The following is a 27,742-nucleotide window of genomic DNA, read 5'->3' on the forward strand; positions in this document are numbered from 1 at the left end:
TCACACTGCAGGCCACTCTCCACCTGACCTAATAACCTCAGGGCCAGGACCAGACAACTAGGGACAGCCCCATGCCCCAGAGCCACTGAAATTATCCAAACTAGCCAATCATGAATCTGCTTACTCGCCTCACCTGTTCCTTGTTGCAGGAACCCCAAGAAAGCTTTTGGCCCACAGTCCGCACTCCCCTGACTCCTGATCGATTGAGGTGTTTCCACACTTGGCCCTGTGTGGTGTGGCCTGCCTTCACTGTCAGCAACAACTTTGTTGTCACTGGCAGCTGCCTTCTGATCTTTTGGCCTTATTACATCTCAAATTTTCTTCAATCCCCGGTATTTTATTTTATCTTATCTTATTTTATTTTTTGAGACAGAGTCTCGCTCTGTCGCCAGGCTGGAGTGCAGTGGTGCAATCTCAGCTCACTGCAACCTCTGCCTCCTGGGTTCAAGTGACTCTCGTGCCTCAGCCTCCTGAGTAGCTGGGAGTACAGGTGTGCACCACCACGCCCAGCTAATTTTTGTATTTTTAGTAGAGATGGGGTTTCACCATGTTGACCGGGATGGTCTCGATCTCCTGACCTTGTGATCCACCCACCTCAGCCTCCCAGAGTGCTAGGATTACAGGCGTGAGCCACCTCGCCTGGCCAATCCACTATGTTTTAAAGCAATTGCCAACTGTCTTGCTCCAGATTGAGAATGACTAGGTTAATCTGAAACCTGGAAATCTGTATCTTAAAAAAAAATTATCTAAGTGATGTGAGATCATTGGATTTGGGGACCACGAACCTTTAGACTCTAGGCACAAGAGTTGAGCCTGGCCTTCATGGCCTCTGACGATCTAGCCCCATCACACGTGTGTTCCTTCTCCTCTCTTGCCACTCATGTTGCTGCCTTGCCCCTTCGTCTGCAAAACTGATCCTTGAGGATGTGCTGATCCCTCTCACTTTCAAACCTTTGCTCTAAATGCAGACTCCGGCTTTTCCAATGACCTCTTAGACTTCTAATCTCACGGGCATTTTTAAAAATAATACGTTTGTTTACTAAAGGAATTAACTCACCCCTTCATTGTGACACATCTGAAACAGTTAAAACGCTACTCTCATGCCTTAAAGCTTTACAAACCCTCATACAAATATGAGGCAGTAATTACAAGTTTACACTCTCATAACACAGGCTAAGGCCCTTCTCTCAGTTTAATTTTGTATCTGTTGCTATGGTTATTTGATTCCCGTCTCTCTCCCACACTAGACTAAAGATTTCCCAAGGTCAAAGATCAAGTCTATTTTTGCTCATATCCACATTACTTTACAAAGTGTCTGGCAATAAACATTTGGTGCACAAATGAATTAATTGATTAATTACCCGACTAATTAATTACTATCTTATGTTGTCTTTTCAACTGGATTTCAAACGCTTGAGGATTATTTCGCTTCCAAGTTTCCTTTCAACCCTATAAACATAGTTATGTTTAAACGGTACATATTGAAACAATAAATGATTACTATTATCTGAACTACATAGTGTTATCAGTAGTACTTTACTGAGCCTACCGACAGAAGCCAAGTACTCATTCGATTTATGTTTTTAAATGAGCAGAATCCCTTTGAACAAAAAACAACTGCATTTGCAAAGAAATATGATGTTATTTATGACCATTATGTCATCGCCTATTCAGAAAGGACAGATTTAAACTGAGTATTAGTGCCTAAAACCAAAAAGTATCCTCCCGTTTGATGAATGTCATTATTGTCAGGATAATTCCAAAAATTGAATTGAACTAGCAGAAAGTGTTTTCTGACATTTTTTATTTCTGTTTCATACACAGAGATGCCTTGTAACCTGAGGAAAACAAAGTTTGTTTTTCCATATTGGTGTTTTCCCTCCTCGGTGTCTTCATTTCTTACTTACAGAGAAGAATGCTAGGATTTTCTTTTTCTTTTTCTTTTTCTTTTTTTCTTCAGAGTGATACATGTGTGTGCTTAGGAAACACTGACTTGACAGTTTACTGTGAGAACGTGGAATTCCCAGCCTCAGCCCCAACCCCTGGGCAGGTGGGGTCTAGAAGCTCTGTGTAGACAGTTACACCCCGGGCCATGGTGGGGAGGGGATGGCCTTCCGAGGGTTGAAGAGCAGGAGCAGTGAATGGCTTATTCCCAAAAGACTTCTCTCTGTCCTTTCTGCCTTCATCATTTTAACACAATGAAAACCTAATTGCTCCCCAAATTTTAGATTTAGTTTGTACCTACAGAGCTTGGAACACTGAAAATAAAATACTGAATTACAGACAGCCTGCAGGCATTCTAGAACAGTCTGTCTACCTCTCTCAAAGAATAACTATGAAGCAGCTCCTCAGGGTCCAGGGAATTTGTCCACCATCGTTTATATAATAACTGCCAGTGCAGAGATCCTGAAAAAAAGTCTCTGTTCTTTCTATGATGTACGAACTTCCTTAAGAAAATAAACCTGTACTTCAAAATTTATATTCCAAGGCTTGAAAACAAAAGCACATTGCCGTTTCTCAAAGCAAGAAAAGATTTGTTCTAAGTGGCTCCAGAAGTGATTGCTGTTCAAAGAGCCGAGATAAGAACCCACAACCACTTCACATCATCAGCAGACAGGAGCAGTTCACGCCAGACAGCAGGAATCAGCTCAAATCCACTCTCTGTCCTTGCTGACTCTTTCTGTCTGGCTCCCAGTCCCACCCCAACCTCCGTCCCTGCCTGTATCCCACGGTCTCTTCCTCTTCTCTCACTGACATCTCCCCACTTTCTTACCTAGTATCTGACTCTCCCTCCCTTCCTTTCTTTCAGCTGTTCCCGCCCTCTCTCCTCTTTTCTGTGCCCCATAACAATTCTTTTCTCTCCTTTCTTCCTTCCTACCTTAGAACTGTCTGCATCACTGTTTAAGGTTTGGATCTGCCATTGATCTCTATAAAATTAGATACACTAAAAATAGATGTACAGAGGCGCCTTGAAGCCAAAGTGGAGAAATCTAAGAACTCTTTCTCTTTCACTATATTTGAGCCTTCTTTATCATTAATAATGGCCACTTAGAACACCTTAGAATGGATGTACCTTATTTTGGGAAGTTTTCTGAGAGTGGGATTTCCCACCCTCTAGGAATTCAAGATGCAAACACTCACCCTCCTGTTGGTCTCTAATAAGCCCACCATGCATTTGCTACAATGGGAATTGGTTTCTCTAGAGAATACATGAGACAAACAGGACTCTCAATGAGTCCAACAGAAGTGACAGCCCAAGTGATAGGGACACAAGGCAGGGAAATTCTGGGCAGAAGTGGGCCAGTCTCTGGCGAGGGCCCCACCCTCAAGCCTGGAAGTGTGGCCCAAAGTGAGAACTTACATTCCTGTTTTCCTGCTCGAATGTTTCCTTTCCCAAGACCACCTGTGCCCCTCCCCACCCCCATCCTGTGTCAATAAAAAACCCCAGGCTCAGCCAGCACAGATAGGAGAAGCAGTTGGACATCAGAGACTACTTTTGGATGTTGGAGAGAGGTGGCTTGACTTCAGAGGGACAGCTTGATGGTATAGCTTCAGAGAGGAGTCTGGCCAGGGACAGCTGGATTTCAGGGGAAGATTACCTTCCCACTCCATCCCCTTTTCAGCTCCCCTTCCCACCGAGAGCCACTGTCATCAACAATAAAATTTCCTGCATTTACTACCTTCAATTTGTTCTTGTGACCTCATTCCTTCTGGAGCCTGGACAAGAACTCGGTGCCACAAGTGTGGGTGCAAAAGGCTGTCACACTGACCCTCCACTGAGCTGTTAATACTTAAGCTGTCTGCAGACAACAAAGCTAAAAGGGTACGCTAACACTTTTTCTCGGGCTTTGGGGGTTGTGGGCACCCTCCCCTAGATGCTGGCATGGGGCCATTATGGAGTTCGTTCTTGCCAGCACCCAAAAGTGCTTACCCTGGCTCCTGCACCTGATCACCCGTGCTCCCCCTCCTGCAAGGAGTGAAGCAGTGAGTGAGTGGAGTTTGTCCCTGCTGGCACCCATGCACTCCAGTTTCCACCCAAGAATGGGGTCTGGGAAATATCCTGCTTCACAAGCACCAAGTTTGGTTTGAAAAACCACTAAGTTAAATGGAAGAAGAGGGAGTAGAAAGAGCAGGAAATAGGGGTTCAAGGCTAGGCCTTCCCAGCCAAGAGAGAGCGAGCCACAGCACCCAGACACTTCATTGACAGAAGCCCTCTCCTCCCAGGGCTCTTAGATTCCCTCCCCCAATCTGGCCCCAAGTATACCTCTGCCAGCCCCTTGGAACTCTGCATTGGTGATCCAGTCTGAAATTTACTGTGCAGCTCGAAGCTGAACAAGCTGATGACCACAGCTTCTTCCTTGTCCTTCTTCCCTGTCCTTGCCCAGCCCAAGTCATAGCAGTTCACGGATATTTTGAACAGGACGAGAGCTTCAGCGTCTTCACCTGCCTTTATCACTTTACATCCAGAGATCAGCTTATGAAAGCCTCATAAATGAACATATGTATAAGCCCATTTTGATGACAGATCACTTTTAAACAACACTTTGATTGAGATATAATTGAAACATGATAAACTGTCCATATTTAAAGTATACTATTGGATAAGTTTTGACGTGGGTATATACTGTAAAACCATCACAAAATGTATCTTATACAATTAAGATAATAAATGTATCCATCACCCATAAAGTTGGTTTTTCTGTTTGTTTTGGGCTTTTTTAATAGACTTTATTTTTAGGGCAGTTGTAAGTTCACAACAAAATTGAGAGGCAAATACAAATTTCTCTTACATCATCGTGTCCACACATGCACAGCCTGACCCCTTGTCGTCATTCTCCGCTGGAATGGCACATTAGTTACCGCTGATGAACCTACTTTGGCACATCCCTATCACCCAGGTCCATAGTTTAATTAGGGTTCACTCTTGCTGTCACACATTCTATGACTTTGGGCAAATGGCATACACCAGTATAGTATCATGCAGAATAGTTTTCTGCCCTAAAAGTCCTCTGTGCAAATGAATAGGATAAGTGGAGCACAGATCACTTTTTAGTAAAATGTTGCCTGGTTTTGATTTGACAAAGTAGGCAACACTGTCAATCACTGGAGAGGATGTAAAAATAGAAAAAAGATGACCTGAATCCAAATCTCTTTTTCATTCTGAAGTTCATTGTTGATTCCTTAGCCTCCCCCTTTCTTTCTTACTCTATTTATAAAGTTTTTACTTTCTAATACAGCCTGTCAATATTTTAAATTTTTTTCATTAGCAGCACACTGCATAGTGTGGGGAAAATATCATTATTTCAAAGCTAATTGTACATATAATCCATTTTTACATACATGTAGACCATAAGACAGTTCAAATATTTTGGGGTAGTTTGAGCTCAATCTGATTTCAGGCATTCGAAACCCTGATAACCCAGCAGAAAGTTAATGCTGGGTTATAGGATTTGGAGTGCCTGAACCATGCCACTGCCCTCCCCCTCCATCAATTTGCCCCCTCACTGGTTCTCTTTCAGTTCCTGTACATGTCACGTATTCTCCTCCCTCAAGGCCTATGCATTTTTTCCTTTCAGTTTCTAATGATGTTCTTCCATGTCCTTTACCTAGATATCCTCTTCTTACCTTTTATGTCTCAAATAAAATGTAACATCTTTCTTGTGCAACACCCTTAACTAAACTTCCTCCCTGTTGTTCTATCTCATACCCCTTGTCCTTTCCCTCTAGAATTGCACCATCCAGTAAGTAGTCACTACCTGCACGTGTGTGTTTAAATGTAAATTAATTAAATAACATTTGAAATTCAGTTTCTCAGCACATTGCCTGCATCTAAAGTGCTCAATAATCATATGCAATTAGTGGCTACCATATTGGACATGTAGGTACAGAAGATTTCCATTCTCACAGAAGTTTGCACTGGAGAGTAGTCCATCTAGATCATTTAGTATAGTTCCTAATTTTACATAAATTTTGTGAGATGTTTTTGTTCGGTCGGTTGATGCTTACCTGCTTCTGGACTGTATATTTTATGCGTGCAAGAATTACAAAATATTGATCAGGGCTCTGGCACTGAAAGGGTGTTCCATACATATTTTGGGCATGAAAGAATGTCATGAATCAAGTCCAAAGCCAGTAAGTTGCAAGAATACACAAGAGAGGAAACAAATGTGCAGATGGGAGGCAATGACCCTCATATTTCCAGCTCCTGTTAGCAAAAACCACGAAAGTATACAGAGGGGGATAAAAAGGATACCAGGCTGTCCAATTAACAATGGAGTAAAACCATGTTTTCCCACTCTCCTTCCTAAAATCAATTAAAGGCAACAAGAAGAATGAAAAAACGTAGAAGAGAAAGCCTCGTGAAACTGAGAAGCATCTGCAACCACAAACTACAAAATGTAGCTGCTAAACAAAATGAAAGTTGGATCAAAGTGGTGGCAAATATCAAGAGTGAATATACTCCACGGCAGAGTACTGCAAATGTAAGTTCCATCACCTTAAAAAGGCCAGCCAATGGCTCCTTGCTGGAATGTCTGGATGTGGGGACTGCTTGGGCACTAGAAACATCTCCAAGTCCCATTCCATGTTATCTAGTGACAGGGAGAGCTGGCGCTGGATGATAAATTACACAGACACAGTATCTTTGTGAAAAGCCAGTGCTCTGTATGGCAAGGTAGAGAGGTGGCAGTCACCATCTGCTGAAATGCGATACACACTAAATCCCGTTCCGTAAGTATGACTACCTGTTACACACAGGCGAACTATGTAGTCATTCTTAGCGGAGAAAGGGGGAGGAAATTGAGCTCTTAGCAGAAACCCACTCCAAAGTTCGAGGAAGAGTGCCTTGTCCCCTGTAAAATGTCCTCCTGTACTACTCCTCCTCCAATTTTTTAGCAAATGCTTGACCCAGGAAAAAATTGCTCCCATTTAGAGATAAGTAATAATCAGAAAAGAGCCAGCCTGAGAAATATGCATGGATATAACTGGCTGGAAGAAAGGAACATGCCAAACAAAGCCAGATGGAGGCTAGACCTCAGAAGAATTACTCTGCAAGCAGAACAACAGTACACACAAACATTTATCCAGAGTCAAAGAACTGATCATGGTGCCTGGGAAATCAGAGCTCAGAAAAGAGATATAGGGATCAAAGAAGATATGATAAGGCAATACAAAGAAATAAATGTGAGCTGAGAGAGATCTGGCGAAAATGCAGAAGAGAAAAATAATTTAAAGCTAAAGCCATGCTGAAATTAAAATAAATATTGCTGAGAAAGGGAAACATGGAGGACAGGCTGAGTTAGAAAGAAATGAACAAAATATGTGGAAAAGCCAAAGAGTTACAGAGAAAATAAGACATAGTGAATAAATATGCATGTAATTTGTGAACGCCTCCCCAAAGGAAACTGAACAAATGTGGCAGAAATAAAATATCCAAACATATGAGAGAAGACATTTTATAAAACAAAGGTAGATACATGTCTTATGATTGAAAGATCACACTGTGTCCCAAGAAAAACTGATCAACCAAAACATAGCCATTAAATTTTTTGGTTTCCATGATTACGTATCCTATAACATCCAGCAACTCCTCTGTATAGTCTCCCCAGCCTCTCAATAAATAAATAACCAAGCAAAATAATCACATATATTTTTCAAACTACCTATGGGGCAAAAGAAAGAATCAAACTAGGTTCAAAGTTCTCTATAGCAATGTCTACAACTCCTCAGTTAAGGAATGGGACCAAATGTTTTACAGCAAGACGGACATATTTAAATATGCAGGAACAAAATAAACATAACATCCTTAAGTTCTTGTGGGAAGAAAACAAAGTATCTGATAACTTAATTGAGATTTTCAAGAGGCAAATGAAAAGACATGATAAAAGATTGAAAATGTTTGTTAAACCAACTTAAACAAAGAATTTTGAAAACTATAGCCACAGAAAACAATGTAAATTTTTATTAATGCTGAAAAAGTAGAAAACATAATGAAATTTTCTATTTGGAGGGTAATCTTTTCCTTAAAAAATCCTTGTAGGCCGGGTCCGGTGGCTCACACCTGTAATCCCAGCACTTTGGGAGGCCGAGGCAGGTGGATCACCTGAGGTCGGGAGTTCAAGACCAGTCTGACCAATATGGAGAAACCCCATCTCTACTGAAAATATAAAATTAGCTGGGCATGGTGCTGCATGCCTGTAATCCCAGCTACTCGGGAGACTGAGGCAGGGGAATTGCTTGAACCTGGGAGGTGGAGGTTATGGTGAGCTGAGATAGCATCATTGCACTGTAGCCTGGGTAACAAGAGTGAAACTCCATCTGAAAAAAAAAAAAATTCCTTGTAAGGTGAATTATCAAAATAAAAACATAATTATAATTGTACTTCATTCAGTTACAAATAAAACATATCTACTCAATGTTTGAGTAATTGAATCTTTAATTTAAATAAAAATAAGGCCCGGCACAGTGGTTCATGCCTATAATCATAGTGCTTTGGGAGGCGGGAGGATCGCTTGAGCCCTTGGCATTCACGGCTGCAGTGAGCTGTGATTGCATTACTGAACTCTAGCCTGGGTGATGGAGGTGCGAGATCCTGTTTCTAAAAACATGAAAATAGTTAAAAATTAAAAATAAATAGTAGGCAGGGCGTGGTGGCTCACACCTGTAATCCCAGCACTTTGGGAGGCTGAGGCAGGCGGATCACGAGGTCAGGAGATCGAGACCATCCTGGCTAACATGGTGAAACCCCGTCTCTACTAAAAATACAAAAAATTAGCCAGGCATGGTGGCGGGTGGCCGAGTAGTCCCAGCTACTCGGGAGGCTGAGACAGGAGAATGGCGTGAACCCGGGAGGCAGAGCTTGTGGTGAGCCGAGATCGCACCACTGCACTCCAGCCTGGGCGACAGAGCGAGACTCTGTCTCTAAATAAATAAATAAATAAATAGTAAATGACCCTCAAAATCAGTACAAACAATGCAAATAATTCACAGGATCATCACCACTACAAACTAGCAAATCATGGACCTGCCAGGGCTTACTAAAACCTGTGCAAACTATACTACTGAGAACGTGGCTGCATAGTGGCGCTCACTATGGCTGAGTTGCTCTTAAATGTGCTTGCCAGGAGATGTCTCATAATCTGAATTTCTCACATATCATAATTCCCATGAGTCTCACGGGACCATCTTAGGCCATAACTTTAACAAAATCAGATAGACGTGGGCAGGAGAGAAGCTAAAGAAAGTATCCTTTCTTTGATTTCCTTACCTTTCATAGAAACCATCAACAGCTACTGTCTGAAGATGATAAAAATAAAGATATATGCGTATGGTTAGACAATTGTATGAACATATGTATCAGATGGAAAACACACACAGCAAAACAAATACCCATCACAAAAGAAGAAAACAAAGGAAGTATATATAATGAAGTCATTCAAAATAAACATCAACGTGACTCCCCGAGTGACCTCCCTAAATAAATAGCACTCCTTCCCATAACCATGCTTCTTATTCCTATTTTCCTACTTTATTTTTTTTCCACAGCGCTTATCACCACCACTGCATATTTATTTGTTGTTATTATCATAATTTTTTGCCTCTCCTAACTAGAAATCAATTCTACGAAGGCAGAAATTCTATTTGGTTCACTGCTGTATCCCAGCATCTAACATCGTACTTAGTATACTGTCAATGCTCAATAAATACTTTTTTAAAGAAATGTATGAGTAAAAACAGAGAACATGATACAAAAGGAAACTACAGAAACGAAGCCAAACAAAGATAACATAACAATAAATGTGAATAAAATAAATTCAGCTATCCAAAGGAGAATAATCAGAGTATGGGTCAAAAACATTAACCAAATAAAATATACTGGTTAAAATATGTAAGCTCTGAAGTAAAAATGCAAATTTGATTTCCAAATCAAGGTCTTATCAATCCTCTTTTAAGATGACATTCTGAGGCTATAGGCAGATCATCTATGTAAAGTAAGACACACAAGAGTGCCCAGTACATGGTGCACAGTCAGTAACTATTAGTGGGCAATGGTAAAAGCAGAAGTGAGCTTGGTTGTAATATTGGTGACAGCAGTGGTAACTCAAACCAAATGACTTTGTAAGACTGCAATGAAAAGAATCAGTGTCAATCAGAATGGCTATTATTAAAAAGTAAAAAGAAAAAAAATGCTGGCCAAGTTGCAGAGAAAAAGGAACACTTATACACTGGTGGTGCGAGTGTAAATCAGTTCAACCATTGTGGAAACAAGACAGTGTTGTGATTCCTCAAAGATCTAAAAACAGAAACACCATTCAACCCAGCAATTCCATTACTGGGTATATACCCAAAGGAATGTAAATGATTCTATCATAAAGACACATGCACGTGTATGTTCATTGCAGCACGATTCACAATAGCAAAGACATAGAATCAACCTAAATGCCTATTGATGGTAGACTGGATAAAGAAAATGTGGTACATATACACAGTGGAATACTATGAAGCCATGAAAAAGAATGAGGTCATATCATTGGCAGGAACAAGGGTGGAGCTGGAGGCCATTATCCTTAGCAAACTAACGTTGGAACAGAAAACCAAGTACCGCATGTTCTCACTTATAAGTGGGCGCTGAATGATGAAAAACATGGATACATAGAGGGGAACAGCATACACTGGGGCCTACACAAGGGTGGAGGAAGGGAGGAGGGAGAGGAGCAGGAAAAATAACTAATGGGTACTAGGTTTAATACTGAGTGATGAAATAATCTATACAACAAATGTCCATGATACAAGTTTACCTATGTAACAAACCTGCACATGTACCCCTGAACTCAAAATAAAAGTTAAATAAAGAAAGGAAAAGAATCAGTTATCATGACAGTATAAAAGAGTGAGTCTGTTGTGGTCTGGAGACTGTGAGAAATATTCTCCAAGGAAATTATATTTAAGCTGAGACCTAAGGATAGATGGGAACTAGTGGGTGGAGAAAATGGAAAACGAAATTTGTGTATGTGGTAGGGAAGGAGAGGAATAGCATTCTAGGCATCAGCAACAGCACATGTGAGCGGAATACATTGCAGAGAAGTGCCAAATACCCCAGCCTTGGGAAAAAGTCTCATCCCCGTAACACACACTTTAGTTAACAGATACTGCAATGGGAATTTTTGTTGTTAATTTATTCAATTGACTTAACAAATACTTACGTAAGCTCTTATGTGCCAGGCACTCTAAATCAGTTGCTGGGAATAGTACCAAGGTATGCAGAGCCCCTTGGCCTCACGGAGCTTCCAGTGGGAAATTTTTAAAAATAGATGAAAAGTACCCTGGGTTTTACTATGAAAAATAGCAGAGTGCCACAGAAGCATATAGCAGGTAAACCTAATCTAATTCTGGGGTCCAAAAATTATCCTAGAAAGCGTAACTTTTAGGAGACCACTCAAAAGAAAATTAATTGCTCTTAAGGCGAGTGAGGAGGAATGAACAAAACGTTCGTGAAGGTACCGAGGTAAAAGAAAGTGTAGCAGTTGAGCATTTGAAAGAAATGCATTATGTCTGAAACAAAGAGAAGCAGAGAGAGAGAGAGAGGAGAGCAAAAGAGTGTGAGAGAGAGAGGTGCAAGCAGAGAGAAGCTGGAGAGAGAGACAAGGCATGATAGCCTGCATTAAGGATTGTATTTCCGGTTGGGCGCAGTGGCTCATGCTTGTAATCCCAGCACTTTGGGAGGCTGAGGCGGGCAGATCACGAGGCCAGAAGTTCGAGATCAGTCTGACAAACATGGTGAAACCCCATCTGTACTAAAAATATAAAATTAGCCAGGCGTGGTGGCAGGCACCTGTAATCCCAGCTACTCGGGAGGCTGAGGCAGAATTGCTTGAACCGGGAGGCAGAGGTTGCAGTGAGCCGAGATTGTGCCACTGCACTCCAGCCTGGCGACACAGCAAGACTCCGTCTCAAAAAAAAAAAGAAAGAAAAACAATTGTATTTCCTAAGTCCATAAGAAATCATTGAACACGGATTGACTAATCCATTTTTCATATAATTTGAAAGATTGTTCTGGTTATTGTGTGGAAATTGTTTGGAGCAGCCGAACATGGAAGCTGCGGAGGCCACATGTATTTGTCAGTGTAAGTTTTGTTGTCCTATGGTAATAAATATCCCCCAAATCTCAGTGGCTCACACAATAAAAATGTTTTTCTCACTCAGGCTGCACATCTTTCATGGATTCTGGTCCACCTCGTCCTCACGCGGGGATGCAGACTGACAAGCTTCCACCATGAAGGGTTGTCATTTGCCATAGCAGGGAGAGGAAAATGGAGCAAATCAGTCACCAGCTCGTCATACAGAAGAGTGTCCCACGTCATATCTGCTGATATGTTATGGCCAAAGTACATGACTATCTCCAAGGAGCTGAGAGGTGAAATTCGGACATTTGTCTGGACGGAGTAGAACCAAGAGAGTCGTAAACATCCTGTGGACTACACACCGTTTAACAAGATGCAACAGTATTCTGGGTAAGAGATCATGGAGAGGCATTTATGAAAGCATTTTTAAATCAAATACAATTATTACAATTTGTCGATTAATTGGATGTGAGAATGGAGGGAGATGGAAGAGTCAGGGATCATTTCCCTGTGATGGAAAGGACAACTGGATAAATGCTGTAAAGTGTCCTGAGTTAGAGAATGTAGAAGATATTTTGGAGTGGGAGGGAACATTCAAACAGAGATGTCTAGTACATAGCTGGAAATGAGATCAGAAGAGAGGTCTGGGCCGAATAAATAAATTTTAGAGCGTTTGACATCCAAAAGGTACTTGAAATCAATGGAACAAAGATTTGTATGGGAGGGTAAGCAAATCATTCTTCTTTGAGACTTTCTCGATTTTGGCACTGAAAGTCGTATGTCATGGGAACATTCTCAGGCTTGAACAAACTGCAGTAGTTGGTCACCCTTTGAGAGTGTGTGAATAAAAAGAACACCAAGACAGATTTGTGAGGAGAAAACACGTACTGGTCAGGTTGAACAAGAGGGGCTGTCAAATGATACTGAGAAAAATAGTCATGAAGATAGAAGGCAAGTCAGAGGAATATCAGAGACCCAGAAAGCAAGGAAACAGTTTCAAGAAGGAGAGAGTGAGGGGCCAACGGGGCCAAATGGTACTCCAACATTAGGTAGGACTCAGATTGCAAATGCCCATTGCTGAGGGACCGGAAAACAGCTGAAATAGGACTCCCAGTTGTTTACGCAGCCAAGCAGAGATCAGGCAGGGAGGGGATGGCTTGTCCAAACACAAGAGGCTGACACATCAGGAAGGGGTCTGAGCTTGTCCTGGGTGTAGTGACCAGATACAGTAGATAGCATGGCAGCTTCTCACATAGCAGAAAACAAATGATGCAGATCTAGGTTCTTGACCTACAGTTCACTGCACACCTCCTCAGGCTGCTGGACTGCAGAATTCAAAAGGAATTCATTTAACACATAAGAGAAATCAAAAAGGATACTCGCCAATTATATGAATGCAAGACACGGATAAAACTCTCCTTTAAAGGTGAATAGAGAGAAAATAGCCAGCTGGGGCCTGTGGAACGACTCTGAAACATAAATGAAGATAAACTATAAGAAACATAAAGAAAATTTTAATAAACATGATTTTTTTCTCAGTATAATTCAAGAAAGCATGAATCAGTTATTGGGGTTTTTCCTATAGAGTTGTAGAAATTCCTTACATATTTTGGCTATTAACTCCTTATTAGATATATGGTCTGCAAATATTTTCTTCCATTCCACAGGTTGCCTTTTCATTCTGTTGATTGTTTTCTTAGCTGTACAGAAGCTTTTTAGTTAATATAATTCCACTTATCTATTTTTGCTTTTTTTTTTTTTTTTTTGCCTGTGCTCTCTTGGTGTCTTATAGAAGAAATTATTGCCCAGGCCAACATCTAGAAGCTTTTCCCCCATGTTTTATTTTAATATTTTATTTATCATGTCTTACATTTAAGTCTTTAATCCATTTTAGTGGATTTTTATATGTGTCATGAGATAGTGCTCTGATTTCATTCTTTTCCATGTGAATATCTCATTTTCCCAACACAATATATTAAAGAGATTCTTTTTTCCATAGTATATTCTTGGCACCCTTGGTAAATATAAGTTGACCATATATGCCTGGGTTCCGTTCTGGGTTCTGTATTCTATCCCATTTGTCTATATATCTGTTTTGATGTCAGTACCACACTGTTTTGATTACTGCAGGCTTTGAGGGTCTTTAGTGTTTCCAAATGAATAATAGGATTTTTTTTCTATTTCTGCAAAAATGCCATTGGGATTTTGTTGGAGATTGCATTGAATCTATTGATTGATTTGGGAAGTAAGAACATTTTCTTTTCTTAATTTTTTAAGCTATCTCCTACAGGAAGGAAGAACATTTTAACAATATTAATTCCTCCAATCAATGAACATGAAAAATATTTCCATTTGCGTCTTAAAAAAATTTTGTTCATGTTTTGTAGTTTCGAGTGTACAAGTCTTTCACTGTCTTGGTTAAGTTTATTCCTAAGTGTTTTGGGTTTTTTGATGCGTTTGTAAATGGAGTTGTTTCTTAATTTCTTTTTCAGTCTGTATAAATGAAACTAATTTTTTGTATGTTGATTTTATATTCTTCCACTTCACTGAATATGTCTATAAGTTAACAATTTCTCTCTCTCTCTCTGTGTGTGTGTGTGTGTGTGTGTGTACTTTAGGGTGTATATATATATATATATATGACTATGTCATCTGCAAACAGAAATCATTTTACTTCTGCCTTTCCAGTTTGGATGACTTTTATTTTTTTTTTCTTGGCTAATTCGCTGGTAAAGACTTCTAGTACTATGTAATTGAACGGAAGTGGCAAGAGTGGTTATCCTGGCCTTGTTCCAGATCTTAGAGTGAAAGACATTAGCTTTTTACCCTTGAATATGCTGTCCTGGCCTTGTTCCAGATCTTAGAGTGAAAGACATTAGCTTTTTACCCTTGAATATGCTGTCAGCTGTGAGCTTGTCATATGTGGCCTTTCTTGTGCGCAGGTAAGTTCCTCCTATATGTAACTTATTAAGAGTTTTTATCACGAAGTGTTCAATTGTGTCAAATACTTTTTTCTGCGTCTATTGAGATGATCATGCGATTTTTATCCTTCGTTCTGTTAACGTGGTATATCACATTGATTTATTTGCATAAGTAGAGCCATTTTTACATCCATGGGATAAATCTTACTTGGTTGTGATGTATAATTTTTTTAATGTGCTGTTATATTCAATTTGATTGTATTCTGTTGAGGGGTTTTGTGTCTGTTATCAGGGATATTGGCCTATAGTTTGTTTGTTTGTTTGTTTTTTCTTGAGGTGCCTTCATCTAGCTTTGATATCAGAGTAATGCTGGCTTCCTAGAATAACTTTAAAAGTGTTCCCTTTTCTTCTATTTTTGGAATAGTTTAAGAAGCAATAGTATTAATTCTTCTTTCTTTCTTTGGTAAAATTCACCTGCAAAGCTTACTGCAAAGCTTACTGGTCTTGGACTTTTCTTTGTTGACAGTTTATTATCATTATTATTATTCCTTCAATCTCCTTGTTATTTTGTTTTGTTTTGTTTTTTGAGATGGAGTCTCGCTCTGTCGCCCAGGCTGGAGTGCAGTGGCGCAATCTCGGCTCACTGCAAGCTCCGCCTCCCGGGTTCACACCATTCTCCTGCCTCAGCCTCCCAAGTCACTGGGACTACAGGCGCCCGCCACCATGCTCGGCTAATTTTTTGTATTTTTAGTAGAGATGGGGTTTCACCGTTTTAGCCGGGATGGTCTCGATCTCCTGACCTCGTGATCCGCCCGCCTCGGCCTCCCAAAGTGCTGGGATTACAAGCGTGAGCCACCACGCCCGGCGAATCTCCTTGTTTTTTATTGGACTGTTTAGGTTTTCTATTTGTTCTTTATTCACTCTTGGAAAAGTGTATGTTTCTAGGAATTTCTCCGTTTCTTTTCGGTTGTCCAATTGGTTAGCATATAATTTTGTATAATGGTTTCTTATGATTCTTTTCTATGAAATCTTTTGTAATGTTTCCTCTTTCGTTTCTGATATTTTAAGTCTTTTTTTCTTTAGTCAATCTAGTTAAAATTTTATTAGTTTTATTTATTTTTTCAAAATACCAGCTCATAGTTTTGTCAGTTTTTTAAAAATGTTTTCTATTTTCTATTTCATTTATTTCTGCTCTGATCTTTATTTACTTATTTATTTATTTTTGCTAATTTTGTATTTAGTTTGTTCTTATATTCTGGTTCTTCAGATATAATTAGGTTACTTACTTGGGATCTTTCTTTGTTATAATGTAGGTGTTTATTGCTGGAAACTTCCCTCTTAGAACTGTTTTTGTTGCATCTCATAAGTTTTGTTTTGTTGTGTTCTCATTTTTGTTGTCTCAAAATATTTTCTAATTTTCTTTTGACTTCTTTTTTGACCCAATAGTTGTTTGAGAGTGTGTTGTTTAATTTTCATGTATTTGTAAATTTTTCTGTTTTTATTCTATTTTTTTATTTCTCGTTTCATTCCATTGTGATTGGAAAAGAGACTTGAAATAATTTCAATCTTAAATTCTTAAGACTTGTTTTGTAGCCTAGCATGTGATCTATTTTGAAGAATGTTTCCTGAACACTTGAGAAGAATGAGTATTCTATTTCTGTTGCACTGGTCTAGAACCAGACCCACAATATCTCTGATGTATGTCTGAATACTTATCTTGAATAATTCCTCTACATAGATTGAGAACCTCATTAGACAGTGTTACAGCTTTGTGCTTCAACTGTCAACATATAGAAAACTCAAGAGGAGAAAGTCTATTGTCCTTATTTATATTTTTGCTCATGTATAATTTCTTCCTTTCTAATGTACTGAGTCTTTCTTTTATTCTGTTCTTTATGTTTAGAGAACTTTCTTGAGTCATTTTTTAGGGTAGGTCTGTGGGTTTTAAATTCTCTTAGTTCTCTTCTATCTTATGTCTTTATTTTATCTCTATTCCTGAAGAATATTTTCTCTGGATATAGGATTCTGGGCTGATAGGTTGTTTTTTTTTTTTTTTCTTTCAACATTTGAAAAATATTGCAGCACTTTCTTCTGGGCTCTGTGATTATTGAAGAGAAATCTACTGTTATCCAAACTGTTTTTCCCATATAACCAATATGTCATTTCTCTCTCAATGCTTTCAAAAATTTTTCTTTGTATTTAGTTTTTAGAAGTTTCACTATGATGTGTTTTGATGTAGATTTCTTACATCCATTTTTTTTTTCTTTTTTGGTCAATTTGGGATATTTTAAGCCATTATTTCTTCAAATACTTTTTCGGCTCCACTGTCTTTCTTCTCCCTTTCTGGAACTCAAATAATACTAATGTTACATCTTTATTATAGAGCCATATACCCTTGAGGTTGTGTTCTTATTTTGTTTTCAATCTATTCTCTCTTTGTTGTTTAGAGTGGATAATTTTTATTGTTATGTCTTCAAGTTCTCTGATTCTTTCTTCTATTCTCAGTTCTGTTGTTCAGTCCATTTGTTCAGTTGTCTATTTTGGTTATTATATATTTTAGTTCTAAAATTCCCATTTGGTTCTTTTTATCTTATATTTCTTTGTTGAAATGTTCTATTATTATTATCTTTTTTTTTTTTTTTTTTTTTTTGAGACTGAGTCTTACTCTGTTGCCCAGGCTGGAGTGCAGTGGCACGATCTCAGCTCACTGCAAGCTCTGCCTACCAGGTTCTAGTGATTCTCCCTGCCTCAGCCTCCCGAGTAGCTGGGATTACAGGAGCCCACCACCACGCCCAGCTAATTCTTGTGCTTTTTAGTAGAAACGGGGTTTCACTATGTTGGTCAGGCTGGTCTTGAACTCTTGACCTCGGGTGATCCACCTGCCTTGGCCTCTCAAAGTGCTGGGATTATAGGCATGAGCCGTGCCTCACCTGAAATGTTCTATTATTTTGCTAAAAAGTTCTTTGCTCTTGGTTTGATAAGTGATTTTTTTTATTGAAACCAGTATATTTTGTGCATCATGATACAAAACACTGGATCTTTTTTAAATCCTATTTTAGCAGGTCTTCTCTGACACCACTCTAGTGAATGAAAGGGGAGGCTGCCTCATTTCTGCGGGTAGGCTTGAAAGGTCTGGCTTCTCTTCTGTTGACACGTTGCGGCCAAGGGAGAGGATTCCTCATAACTTCTGGATGGGGATGGGAGTCGAGGCTCCCACTAGGAATTCTCTGACACTATCCCAGCAAGGAGGGCACCTCATTACTATTTTTTTTTTTTTTTTGAGACAGAGTTTTGCTCTTGTTGCCCAGGCTGGAGTGCAATAGCACAAACTCGGCTCACCACAACCTCTGCCTCCCAGGTTCAAGCGATTCTCCTGCCTCAGCCTCCAGAGTAGCTGGAATTACAGGCATGCGCCACCATGTCCGGCTAATTTTGTATTTTTAGTAGAGACGGGGTTTCTTCATGTTGGTCAGGCTGGTCTCAAACTGTCGACCTTAGGTGATCCACCCGCCTCAGCCTTCCAAAGTACTGGGATTACAGGCGTGAGTCACTGTGCCCAGCCCTCATGACTAGTCTTTACATGGCCTCCACTGACACCATGGAGAGGGGAGTAGGTGGCCTTGTACCCAGTGAGTGGGATGAAAGTCCTGAATCTGTATTAAGCTTCTTTTGATACCAGCTGACAGGGGTATTTTAACCTGGCAACACACTCTGGGCTCTTCAGTTGGTCTTTATTGCAGAGTATAGGGTATAATTACAGTTTTTTCTGTGACATTTCGCTGGAGTGGGAAGTTATCGTCTGAAAGTTTTCTGTCTTGTAAGGTTGACTCTTTTCTGGTCCATTGGCTAATGAGAACAGGCTTTCATTATGATCGCGCGCACGCGCGCGCGTGTGTGTGTGCTTATTGGTGGTTTCTGGGTTGCTGGCTTCTTCACTTCCAAGTTTAGGATACATGAGGCAAAAAAAAACAAAAAACAAAAAACAAAAATAAAACCTGAGGGACTCACCTCTGCGTCATTCATTGGGTCTCTGCATCTTTAGCCAGTCCCTCCTCTCCATCCTTGAGACTTTTATTTTGTTTCTTTTGTACAGAATATCCAGAATTTTTAGTTGCACCTAGCAGGAAGAAAAGGGAAGACTATGTCTACTCCATCTTTTCAAAAGTGGATGCCCAAGCTGTAATAATTTTAGAATGTAAAATATTAAAGTGTCAAATATTGTTAACAGAAATAGATATAAATCAGATAAAAACCACTTAAAATCAGTAAGAATCCTAGCCAATTGGAAAGAGTAGAATTCGACCTCTGCACATACAATACTCCAAAATTAATTCCAGATAGATTAATTGTATAATTAATTAATTTTAAAAGTGAAATAATATATAGGAGAAAATATAAGCACATTATATAATCAGAGAAGTGAAATTGTAACATTCTTTACACAAATAATGGTTGTCTTTAATATGTAAATAATTCTTACAAATCAGTAAGAGAAATATGACTACTATAAGCAAAAAATAATTAGAGAAAGGCCCAAACAGATGATTTGCATAAAGAATACAAGTACCTAACAAATATGGGAAAATGCTCTTCTTTTCAAATAATTGAAGAAACAAAAATTAGACAAATTAATTCCTTCGGGTTTTAGTTCGGTTTAGTTTGGTTCCTTTTTGGCTTATTCATGAGCCCTTCAAATAAAATGAAAGCAATTTTAGGTGGGTCTGAGCTGGGTCCTACCTTGCAAATCCAGCTGTGATGGGAACCAAAGTAATACAATCTTTTTGGCAGGAACTTTGCCAATAAGTATCAAAAATCGCAAACATCATCATTTTTTGGACCAAATAATTTCACTTTGGGAAATTTATCCCAAGAAAAAGATGATTAACATAAAGATTCATGGAGAAGAATACTAATAACATAAGTATTAATAGTGGTAAAAGGTAAAAAACTAAAAATCCTAACAAAGAAGAATTGGATAACTAAAGTGTGGCATATTCATAGAATAGAATACCATGTGGTTATTTTAAACCATGTTGTATAAGAATACTTAATGCCACGGGAAAAATGCTCATAATTTACCATTAAGTAAAAAATGAAAGTCAAACTATACAGTAGTTTAGACACTAATGCTACTTTAATAGGTAAAAATGTTCACAGAAATAACGTATTAAGAAAACACACAAAAATATTAGCACTTGAAAATTAAGTACAGGAATCATGATGTATTTTCATTTTTCTTCTTTGTATTTTTTAATTTTCAAAATATATTATTACAAAGCATACTTTTATATTTAAAACAAAACAATAAATGTATGTGGGGGATGTCTGGGGATGCCTTCAGCTGCTTAATGATGTCATCTGAGACGCAGGCTCTTTCTAACATTTTTATTCTGCCATCCTTAGCATTTTGGTTTTCCTTGTCACGCTTGTTGCTGCATCATTATAAGATAGCTATGGCACCTATAGATATCACAAATGCTCCAGGCTGGAAGAAGAAAGAGAGCCCACCCTCTGCATCTATACCTCTTTTGATCAGGACTATTTGTCAGAGACCCCTTTCAACAGATTTTGCTTACATCCCCTATGAACATCCAAAGCTACAAAGGAAGCCAAAAAATAAGTATGCAGTTTTGCAGACTCTTAGACTAGATCATGACAAGAAAGAAGGGACCAGGAATGGATGCTGAGTGAGCCAACTGCAGTTTTTACATAGTATTTTTATGTACAAAATTAAAAGCATATTTTGTAGAGTGCATGGATTGAATGTAGTGATAACCAAACTATGCAAGAATTGTGCTTTGCAGGCCCTGTAAAAAGCATTTTGTGACATCTGACCATTAAAAGAAGTTAGGAGATGTACTTGCAAACTATTCAGGCTCTGATCCCTACATTGCAGGAGTCTGACACTATAAATTGTACATTTTCATACTGAGAAAAGATTAGAAGGTTGATGTAGGGTACGCATGTCTTAACCATCAACTCATTCACAGGCACTTTGTTGTATGGCATAGGGAAGAGCCCTTTCAAGCTGTGTTTGGTTACATGAAACCTAAGTCAGCCATCCAGTCATTGTAGAAAAAAAAATCATCAAAAAGCAAGATTCGTCATACAACTGAAGGCAGCAAGCTGTTGGACAAAGAGCAAACAAAGCCTGTGGAGGTCAGGAGATCTGAGCGTTCCATCAGGTTCTGCCACTAAACAGCTGTGTGCTTTTGTGAATGTAATTAACATTGACAAATTTCAGTTTCTTAATCTATAAGGTCAGGGGTTTGCAGAAAAGATTGCTTAGGGCACTTTGAGCATAAAATGGCTATATTCTATTATAATTGATATCTTATAAAAATTACTAACTGCAAAGGTAATGAATCACATTAAACCTCTCACTGTGAGTTGACAGGAAGGAACACAGAGAGATCTGGAGGAACAGAGATGGGCAGAGTCACTGGCTCTGTGTCAGCTGCTGTCATTTGTGGTAGATGGTACATTCCACAGAGGAAATGCAACACATATAAACCTTTAGAACCCACTAAAACTCTGTCAACATTATTTTTGCATAATTGGAAAAATGGGTTTGCAGTGCAATATATTGAGCCCACACCCCAATTTCAAGACCTGGTGTCCTTGTTGATTTAATTTCACAAAGCAAAAAAGAAGATACATTAGGAGTGAAAGGAATCACATTGGTGGGGAAGTTGTTACAATAGTCACTAAAGTCTTTCAGTCCAGGAATCAGAGGCCATGCAAATGTATCAACGTTCAGGTTCAGATGAAAGTTATGGAAAGTTGTGGTTGTCAGCACAGGTTGTGATGGGGTTGGAATTCTTGCTCCACCATTTAGAGCTGTGTGACAGTCTTCAAGTTACTTACCACATCTGTGCCTTTGTTTCTTATCTGTAAAATTAGGGACAATATTTGCACATATCTCTGAGAACTGGGTAAAATTTAAATTTTTTTTTTAGTCCAGTGCCTGGCCTCTAGGTACTTATTATCAGAGAGGTAATTTTTAATTCTTTAAGTAACTCAATGAATTTGCAACTAAGCTTATAAACTGTTAGGTAGTTAGTAACTTGTGGTGGATTTCTTAATTTGGGGAATAAAGTTTCTCTATGCAGAAATGTATGAAATGGCAAAAGTAGAAAGCCTACCATAAAGCTTAAGGGACACTTTTACTGGAATACCTTTTAGGAGACTCAGGCAGTTTTGCACAGAGCTGTTGCCTGCAACCCTGAGCCGCTTCCTAGTACAGCTCTGCTCCTGGGTAAAAGGCAAGAGACAAGAGAGCTATAAACTCTGTGTAGTGCAGGAATATAAATGTATCATTGTATTCTGCTTGGACTATGTCCTTCAGCAAAGTGACAATTTAACTGAAAGTGGTCATACAGACAGAACTGGCAGGTTTTCCACTATTGCCTATTCCTATTTCTCTTGCTGGAAATCGCTCCAGGATCCTTAACAGGTGGTCTGCTTCTAGTCCCTAAATTTGGAATGTCAAAATGGATTCTCAGATCAATGGGGGAAGGCTGGGTTGTTCATTAAATGGTGTTGAGACAGCTGGCTAAGCATTTGGAAAAACAAAGTTAGGATCCTATCTCAAACCAAATTAAACCACAAATGGGTTCAATGTTTAAAGAAAGGCAGAGAGATGAAAATATCAGAAGAAAATACAGGTGAATAGCAAAATAGCTGTATTATAGGGAAAGGTTTCATGACTATAATACTAAGAGCAGAATTTATATTTATAATGGGAAAAATAATCATTGACTACATTAAAAATGTAAAACTTCCCTTTATATATATAAAAACTACTATGGAGAAAATAAGGAGAACAGAACCTTAAGAAAAGTCACTTTCATGTATCAGGTTAAAGGGCTACTGTCCTGTCTGTGGAAAGAGCTCTTATAAATGAGTGAGGAAAAAGATGACCCGTCCGTTCCCCTCTCCCCGCCCCACCCCCACCAATGTGGGCATACCCATAAATATAATTTTTTTAAAAAAGTCAAAAGGGTAATAAACATGAAAAAATTTCAGCTTCACATGTAATCAGCCACTTCTCATGTATCAAGTTGTCAAAGATGAAAAACAACAAAACTCCACGTTAGGGAAAGAAATGGTCGGCAATATGCAGTTGCAGACATGAATGCTGGCACTACAAATACACAAAAACTAGGGCCGGGTGCAGTGGCTCACGCCTGTAATCTCAGTACTTTGGGAGGCCAAGGCAGGAGGATCACCTGAGGTCAGGAGTTCGAGACCAGCCTGGCCAGCATGGTGAAACCCCATCTCTACAAAAAATACAAAAATTAGCTGGGTATGGTGGTGGGCACCTATAATCCCAGCTACTGGGGAGCCTGAGGCAGGAGAATCACTTGAACCCAGGAGGTGGAGGTTGAAGTGAGCTGAGGTCGTGCCATTGCACTCCAGTCTGGGCACCAAGAGTGAAACGCCTTCTCAAAAAAAAAAAAAAATACACAAAAACTTTTTGGAGAGCTTTTGGGCCATGTAGATAATATTCTCAGTGAAAAGTCTTTGACATCTTCTAGTATGTTACCCTTAGAAAATTATCAATCACATGCTTGGCGATTTAGATCTAGGAGTATCATCGCAGCATAGTTTGTAATTTCAATATAGAATGTTAAGGAGATATCTGTCATCTGAGGCTGGTTAATAAATTAAGACTTAGTCTACATAACTAAATACTATGAAACTTTTTAGGAAAGTAAGTTTTAAGGTAGCATGATGTCCGCACATGAAAAAAATATATAAAACGGGTATAGTACAAGTCATATTTGTATTAAAATTCTATAGCTTGTTATGTTTGGTATTTTTAACATATACATGGAAAAATATGAATATATGGTTAAAAATAAGTATCCTCCAGTCCAAGACCCCTTAAGGCTGTCAAGGTCATAAAAAAAGCAAAGAACAACTGAGAAAGTGTCATGGATGTGGAAAGACATAAAAATTAGAATCTAGTGTCGTTCCCTGGATTGGAACCTATAACAGAAAGAGGACCTTAATGGAAAACTGGTGAAATCTGGAGTTTCATCAATAGTAATGGACCAATGTCAGGTTCTTGGTTTTGACAAATGAACCACAGTAGCATAAGGTGTGAACAATGGGAGAAACGGGGTGAAGGGCATATGGGAACTCCTTATAAGCTATCTTTGCCATTTTTATAAATAACAAGTTTACTTGAAATATCAAGCCATTTGGCCGGGCGCAGTGGCTCACACCTGTAATCCCAACACTTTGGGAGGCCAAGGCGGGCGGATCACCTGAGGTTAGGGGTTCGAGATCAGCCTGGCCAACATGGTGAAACCCTGTCTCTACTAAAAATACAAAAATTAGCTGGGCATGATGGTGGGCACCTGTAATCCCAGCTACTTGGGAGACTGAGGCAGGGAGAATTGTTTGAACCCAGGAGGCGGAGGTTGCAGTGAGCCGAGTTCGCGCCACTGCACTCCAGCCTGGGCGACAGAGCGAGACTCCATCTCAAAAAAAAAAAAAAAAAAAATTAAACCTTTCAAAATGTGTAACCCTGAGGAGTGAGATTTGAGTATGGGACATAATGACTTTCAGATTCTATGTGGAAAATGTTGTACAATGACCACACATATTACATAATAAAGGATGAACTGACATAAAAAAAATTGTAGAAGTATATTTGTGAACATGGAATAATAAAAAAGCAAATTATAACAGTATAATCTTACTTAAATATATTTTAATTACTTGCTTTTGCTTTCATTTATGTTCCAATTTTTAAAACAAATATACATTTCTTATAGGACAAAGAATAATTTAAGTTTAAAATATCCCTGGAAGTAGATGTGGGGCAGGCAGAATCCCCAAATCTCCAGTCTTGCAAGTTAGAATCGGGGGTTTCCTGATCCTGTACCTGCTCCTTAAAACTCTGGGGCCACAAAAAGCAGATCGTCTTTGTTGATGGGGACTCTGGCTCTTTATTCCAGTAATAAATTTAAATGAATATCCCTTTTTTTTAACTATGATCCAACACATCTTGTCTGTGCTTAGATTATTCTATTCAAGACACAAGGGTGAAGGTATTAATTAAAAAGAAAAAGAATAATTTAACAGTATCAAGCATTCTTTCCTGCTGTGTAGGTTATTTATAATATGATTTTCAGAGAGAATAATGGCCAGTTAAATAAGAGAAAATACAAACTCACTACACTTAAACCCTGCTAATAGAAAATTGAAGACAAAATGTAAACAAGCATTTTGCCTTTTTTCATGTTTATCACATAATCACAGCACTGCCATATTTGGGAAAAATAGCCTAATATTTGAATGCAAATTCTACTGATATTTATTGTAATATTTTGGACACATATCCACATAATGCAAGATTTTCATGTATTTGTCTTACTCAGAAATGAATTTGCTGGATGGTTTCCAAGCAGTAATTTGGATTTATAAGAATGTAAATACATTATGATTGAGTTCCCAGTAGCATTTAAGCTCATGGATATTAGGCAATGCCTGATGCCAAGCAACTTCGGAAGCCCTGGAGACTCAGCGGCTCACAGCCCTTTCCCACGGGCCACCCACTCTCGAGGGCCATATTTCCAAATGCATTTCTGCGAGTCTGAGAGACTTGAGGATTTGCAAGGGCCTTCCTCACAGACACAGTGGCTTATGCCCACTTCACCCAGTTTCTCGCATTGTTCACACCTTACGTTACTGTGGTTCATACGTCAAAACCAAGTGGGAGTTACCAGTGGGTCAACTGGTCATTATAAAATGGAGAATGAAGTGCTGTAATTGGTGAGACTATAAGATTTCATGGGAGCGCAAAAGAGAAGCACCTTGAAACCTGGACCCCTGGGGACAGGGGTGGCCAAGATACAGGCTGGCCAAGATACACAGTCCATGGAACGTGAGGCTCGGAGGAAGCAGAGTCATTTCCCAGGAGAATGGGAGACCAGGGAGAAGAGACGGTGCTCCAGGCAGAGGTGACTGCACCTGAAAGGGCCTGGTGAGGGAGGGGAGTGAGCGTGGTGGGTCTAAAGAACTGGACAGAGCCCCCGCCAGACCACAGGATGCCAAGAGGTGGGTGAGAGCCAGAGCCCAGCGGGAGGAGCAGCCCCATCACGAAAGGCCTTGAACACCATATTAAGGAAATTGGATTTTATTTCATGGTTGCTGTGGGCTAAATTGCGCCTCCCCAAAACTCATATGTATGGAAGCCCTAATGCTATAGCACTTCAGAATGGAACTGTATTTACAGATAGGGGCCTTAAAGGGCTAACCCAGTTAAAATGAGGTCATGAGGGTGGGCTGTAGTCTGATCTGACTGAAGTCTTTTTTTTTTTTTTTTTGAGATGGAGTCTTGCTCTGTCGCCCAGGCTGGAGTGCAACGGCATGACCTCTGCTCATTGCAACCTCCGCCTCCCGGGTTCAAACAATTCTCCCTGCCTCAGTCTCCCAAGTAGCTGGGATTACAGGTGCCCATCATCATGCCCAGCTAATTTTTGTATTTTTTAATAGAGACAGGGTTTCGCCATGTTGGCCAGACTGGTCTTGAACTCCTGACCTCAAGTGATCCGCCCACCTCGGCCTCCCAAAGTGCTGGGATTACAGGCATGACCCACCACGCCGGCCCTGACTGATGTCTTCATAGGCAAAGGAAATTAGGACACAGACACACCCAGAGGGAAGGTCACATAAAGTCGCAGGGAGTATACAGCCACCTGCATATCAAGAAGAGAGGCCTCAGAGGAAACTGACACCTTGCTCTTGGACTCCCAGCCTCCAGAATTGTGAGAAAATAAATTTCTGTCATTTGAACCACTCAATCTTTAGTACTTTGTTACAGCAGCCCTAGCAAACTCACGCAAAGGACAATCAAGTGTCCTAAGGAAAGGCAGGGGGCAGGGGAAGGATGGTTAGATTCATCCTTTTGAAAGATTACTGGCTGGTGGGCAGAATGGATAGGAGAAGGTAGAGTTGGGGGCAGGAAGTTCAAAAGCCCTTTAAGTGCTAGACAATGGTTGCAGCTGCTATGGAGGTCTGTGCAGGCTGAATTTGCACAACTCTGGGGGGTGCCTTCTAAATACAGACATGCCTCAGAGATGTAATGGGTTTGTTCCAGACCACTGCAATAAAGCGAAGATTGCAATAAAGTGAGTCACACAAAGTTTTTGGTTTCCCAGTGCATATAAAAGCTATATTTACACTATATTGTAGTCTATTAAATGTGCAGTAGTGTTATGTCTAAAAAAACAATGTACATACCGGGCCAGGCGCAGTGGCTCACACCTGTAATCCCAACACTTTGAGAGGCTAAGGCGGGTGGATCACCTGAGGTCAGGAGTTCGGACCAGCCTGGCCAACATGGCGAAACTCCGCCTCTACTAAAAATACAAAAATTAACTGGGTGTGGTGGTGGGTGCCTGTAATCCCAGATACTAGGGAGGCTGAGGCCAGAGAATCGCTTGAACCTGGGAGGCGGAGGTTGCAGTGAGCTGAGATCACGCCACTGCACTCCAGCCTGGGAGACACAGTGAGACTCTGTCTAAATGGAAAAAAAAAAATGTACATACCTTAATAAAATATACTTTGTTGCCAAAAAGTGAGAATGATTATCTGAACCTTCAGTAAGTCATAATCATTTTGCTGGTGGAGGGTCTTGCCTCAATGTTGATGGCTGCTGACTGATCAAGGAGGTGGTTGCTGAAG

General features: G+C 39.7%; 2 long non-coding RNA genes across 3 annotated transcripts in view; one reads left to right on the plus strand and one right to left on the minus strand.

Moving 5' to 3' along the window:
- The window catches only part of LINC00670 (long intergenic non-protein coding RNA 670), an 87,220-nt gene that overhangs the window by 28,272 nt on the left and 31,206 nt on the right, over window positions 1–27,742 (plus strand). Inside the window, exons 2-3 of one of the 2 annotated variants that reach the window (NR_034145.1) lie at window positions 6,321–6,482; window positions 12,202–12,509. This is a non-coding gene — a long non-coding RNA (long intergenic non-protein coding RNA 670). The remainder of the gene's footprint in view (window positions 1–6,320; window positions 6,483–12,201; window positions 12,510–27,742) is intronic. The other variant, NR_034144.1, reaches the window with a different exon arrangement.
- LOC105371540 (uncharacterized) lies at window positions 13,513–27,721 on the minus strand. Its single transcript, XR_934233.3, has 3 exons — window positions 27,607–27,721; window positions 19,049–19,157; window positions 13,513–13,588 (listed from the first exon to the last, which is right to left on the minus strand). It is a non-coding gene; the product is annotated as an uncharacterized LOC105371540 (long non-coding RNA).

The sequence above is a fragment of the Homo sapiens genome, chromosome 17 (genome assembly GCF_000001405.40).
Source record: "Homo sapiens chromosome 17, GRCh38.p14 Primary Assembly".
NCBI classification, from domain to species: domain Eukaryota; kingdom Metazoa; phylum Chordata; class Mammalia; order Primates; family Hominidae; genus Homo; species Homo sapiens.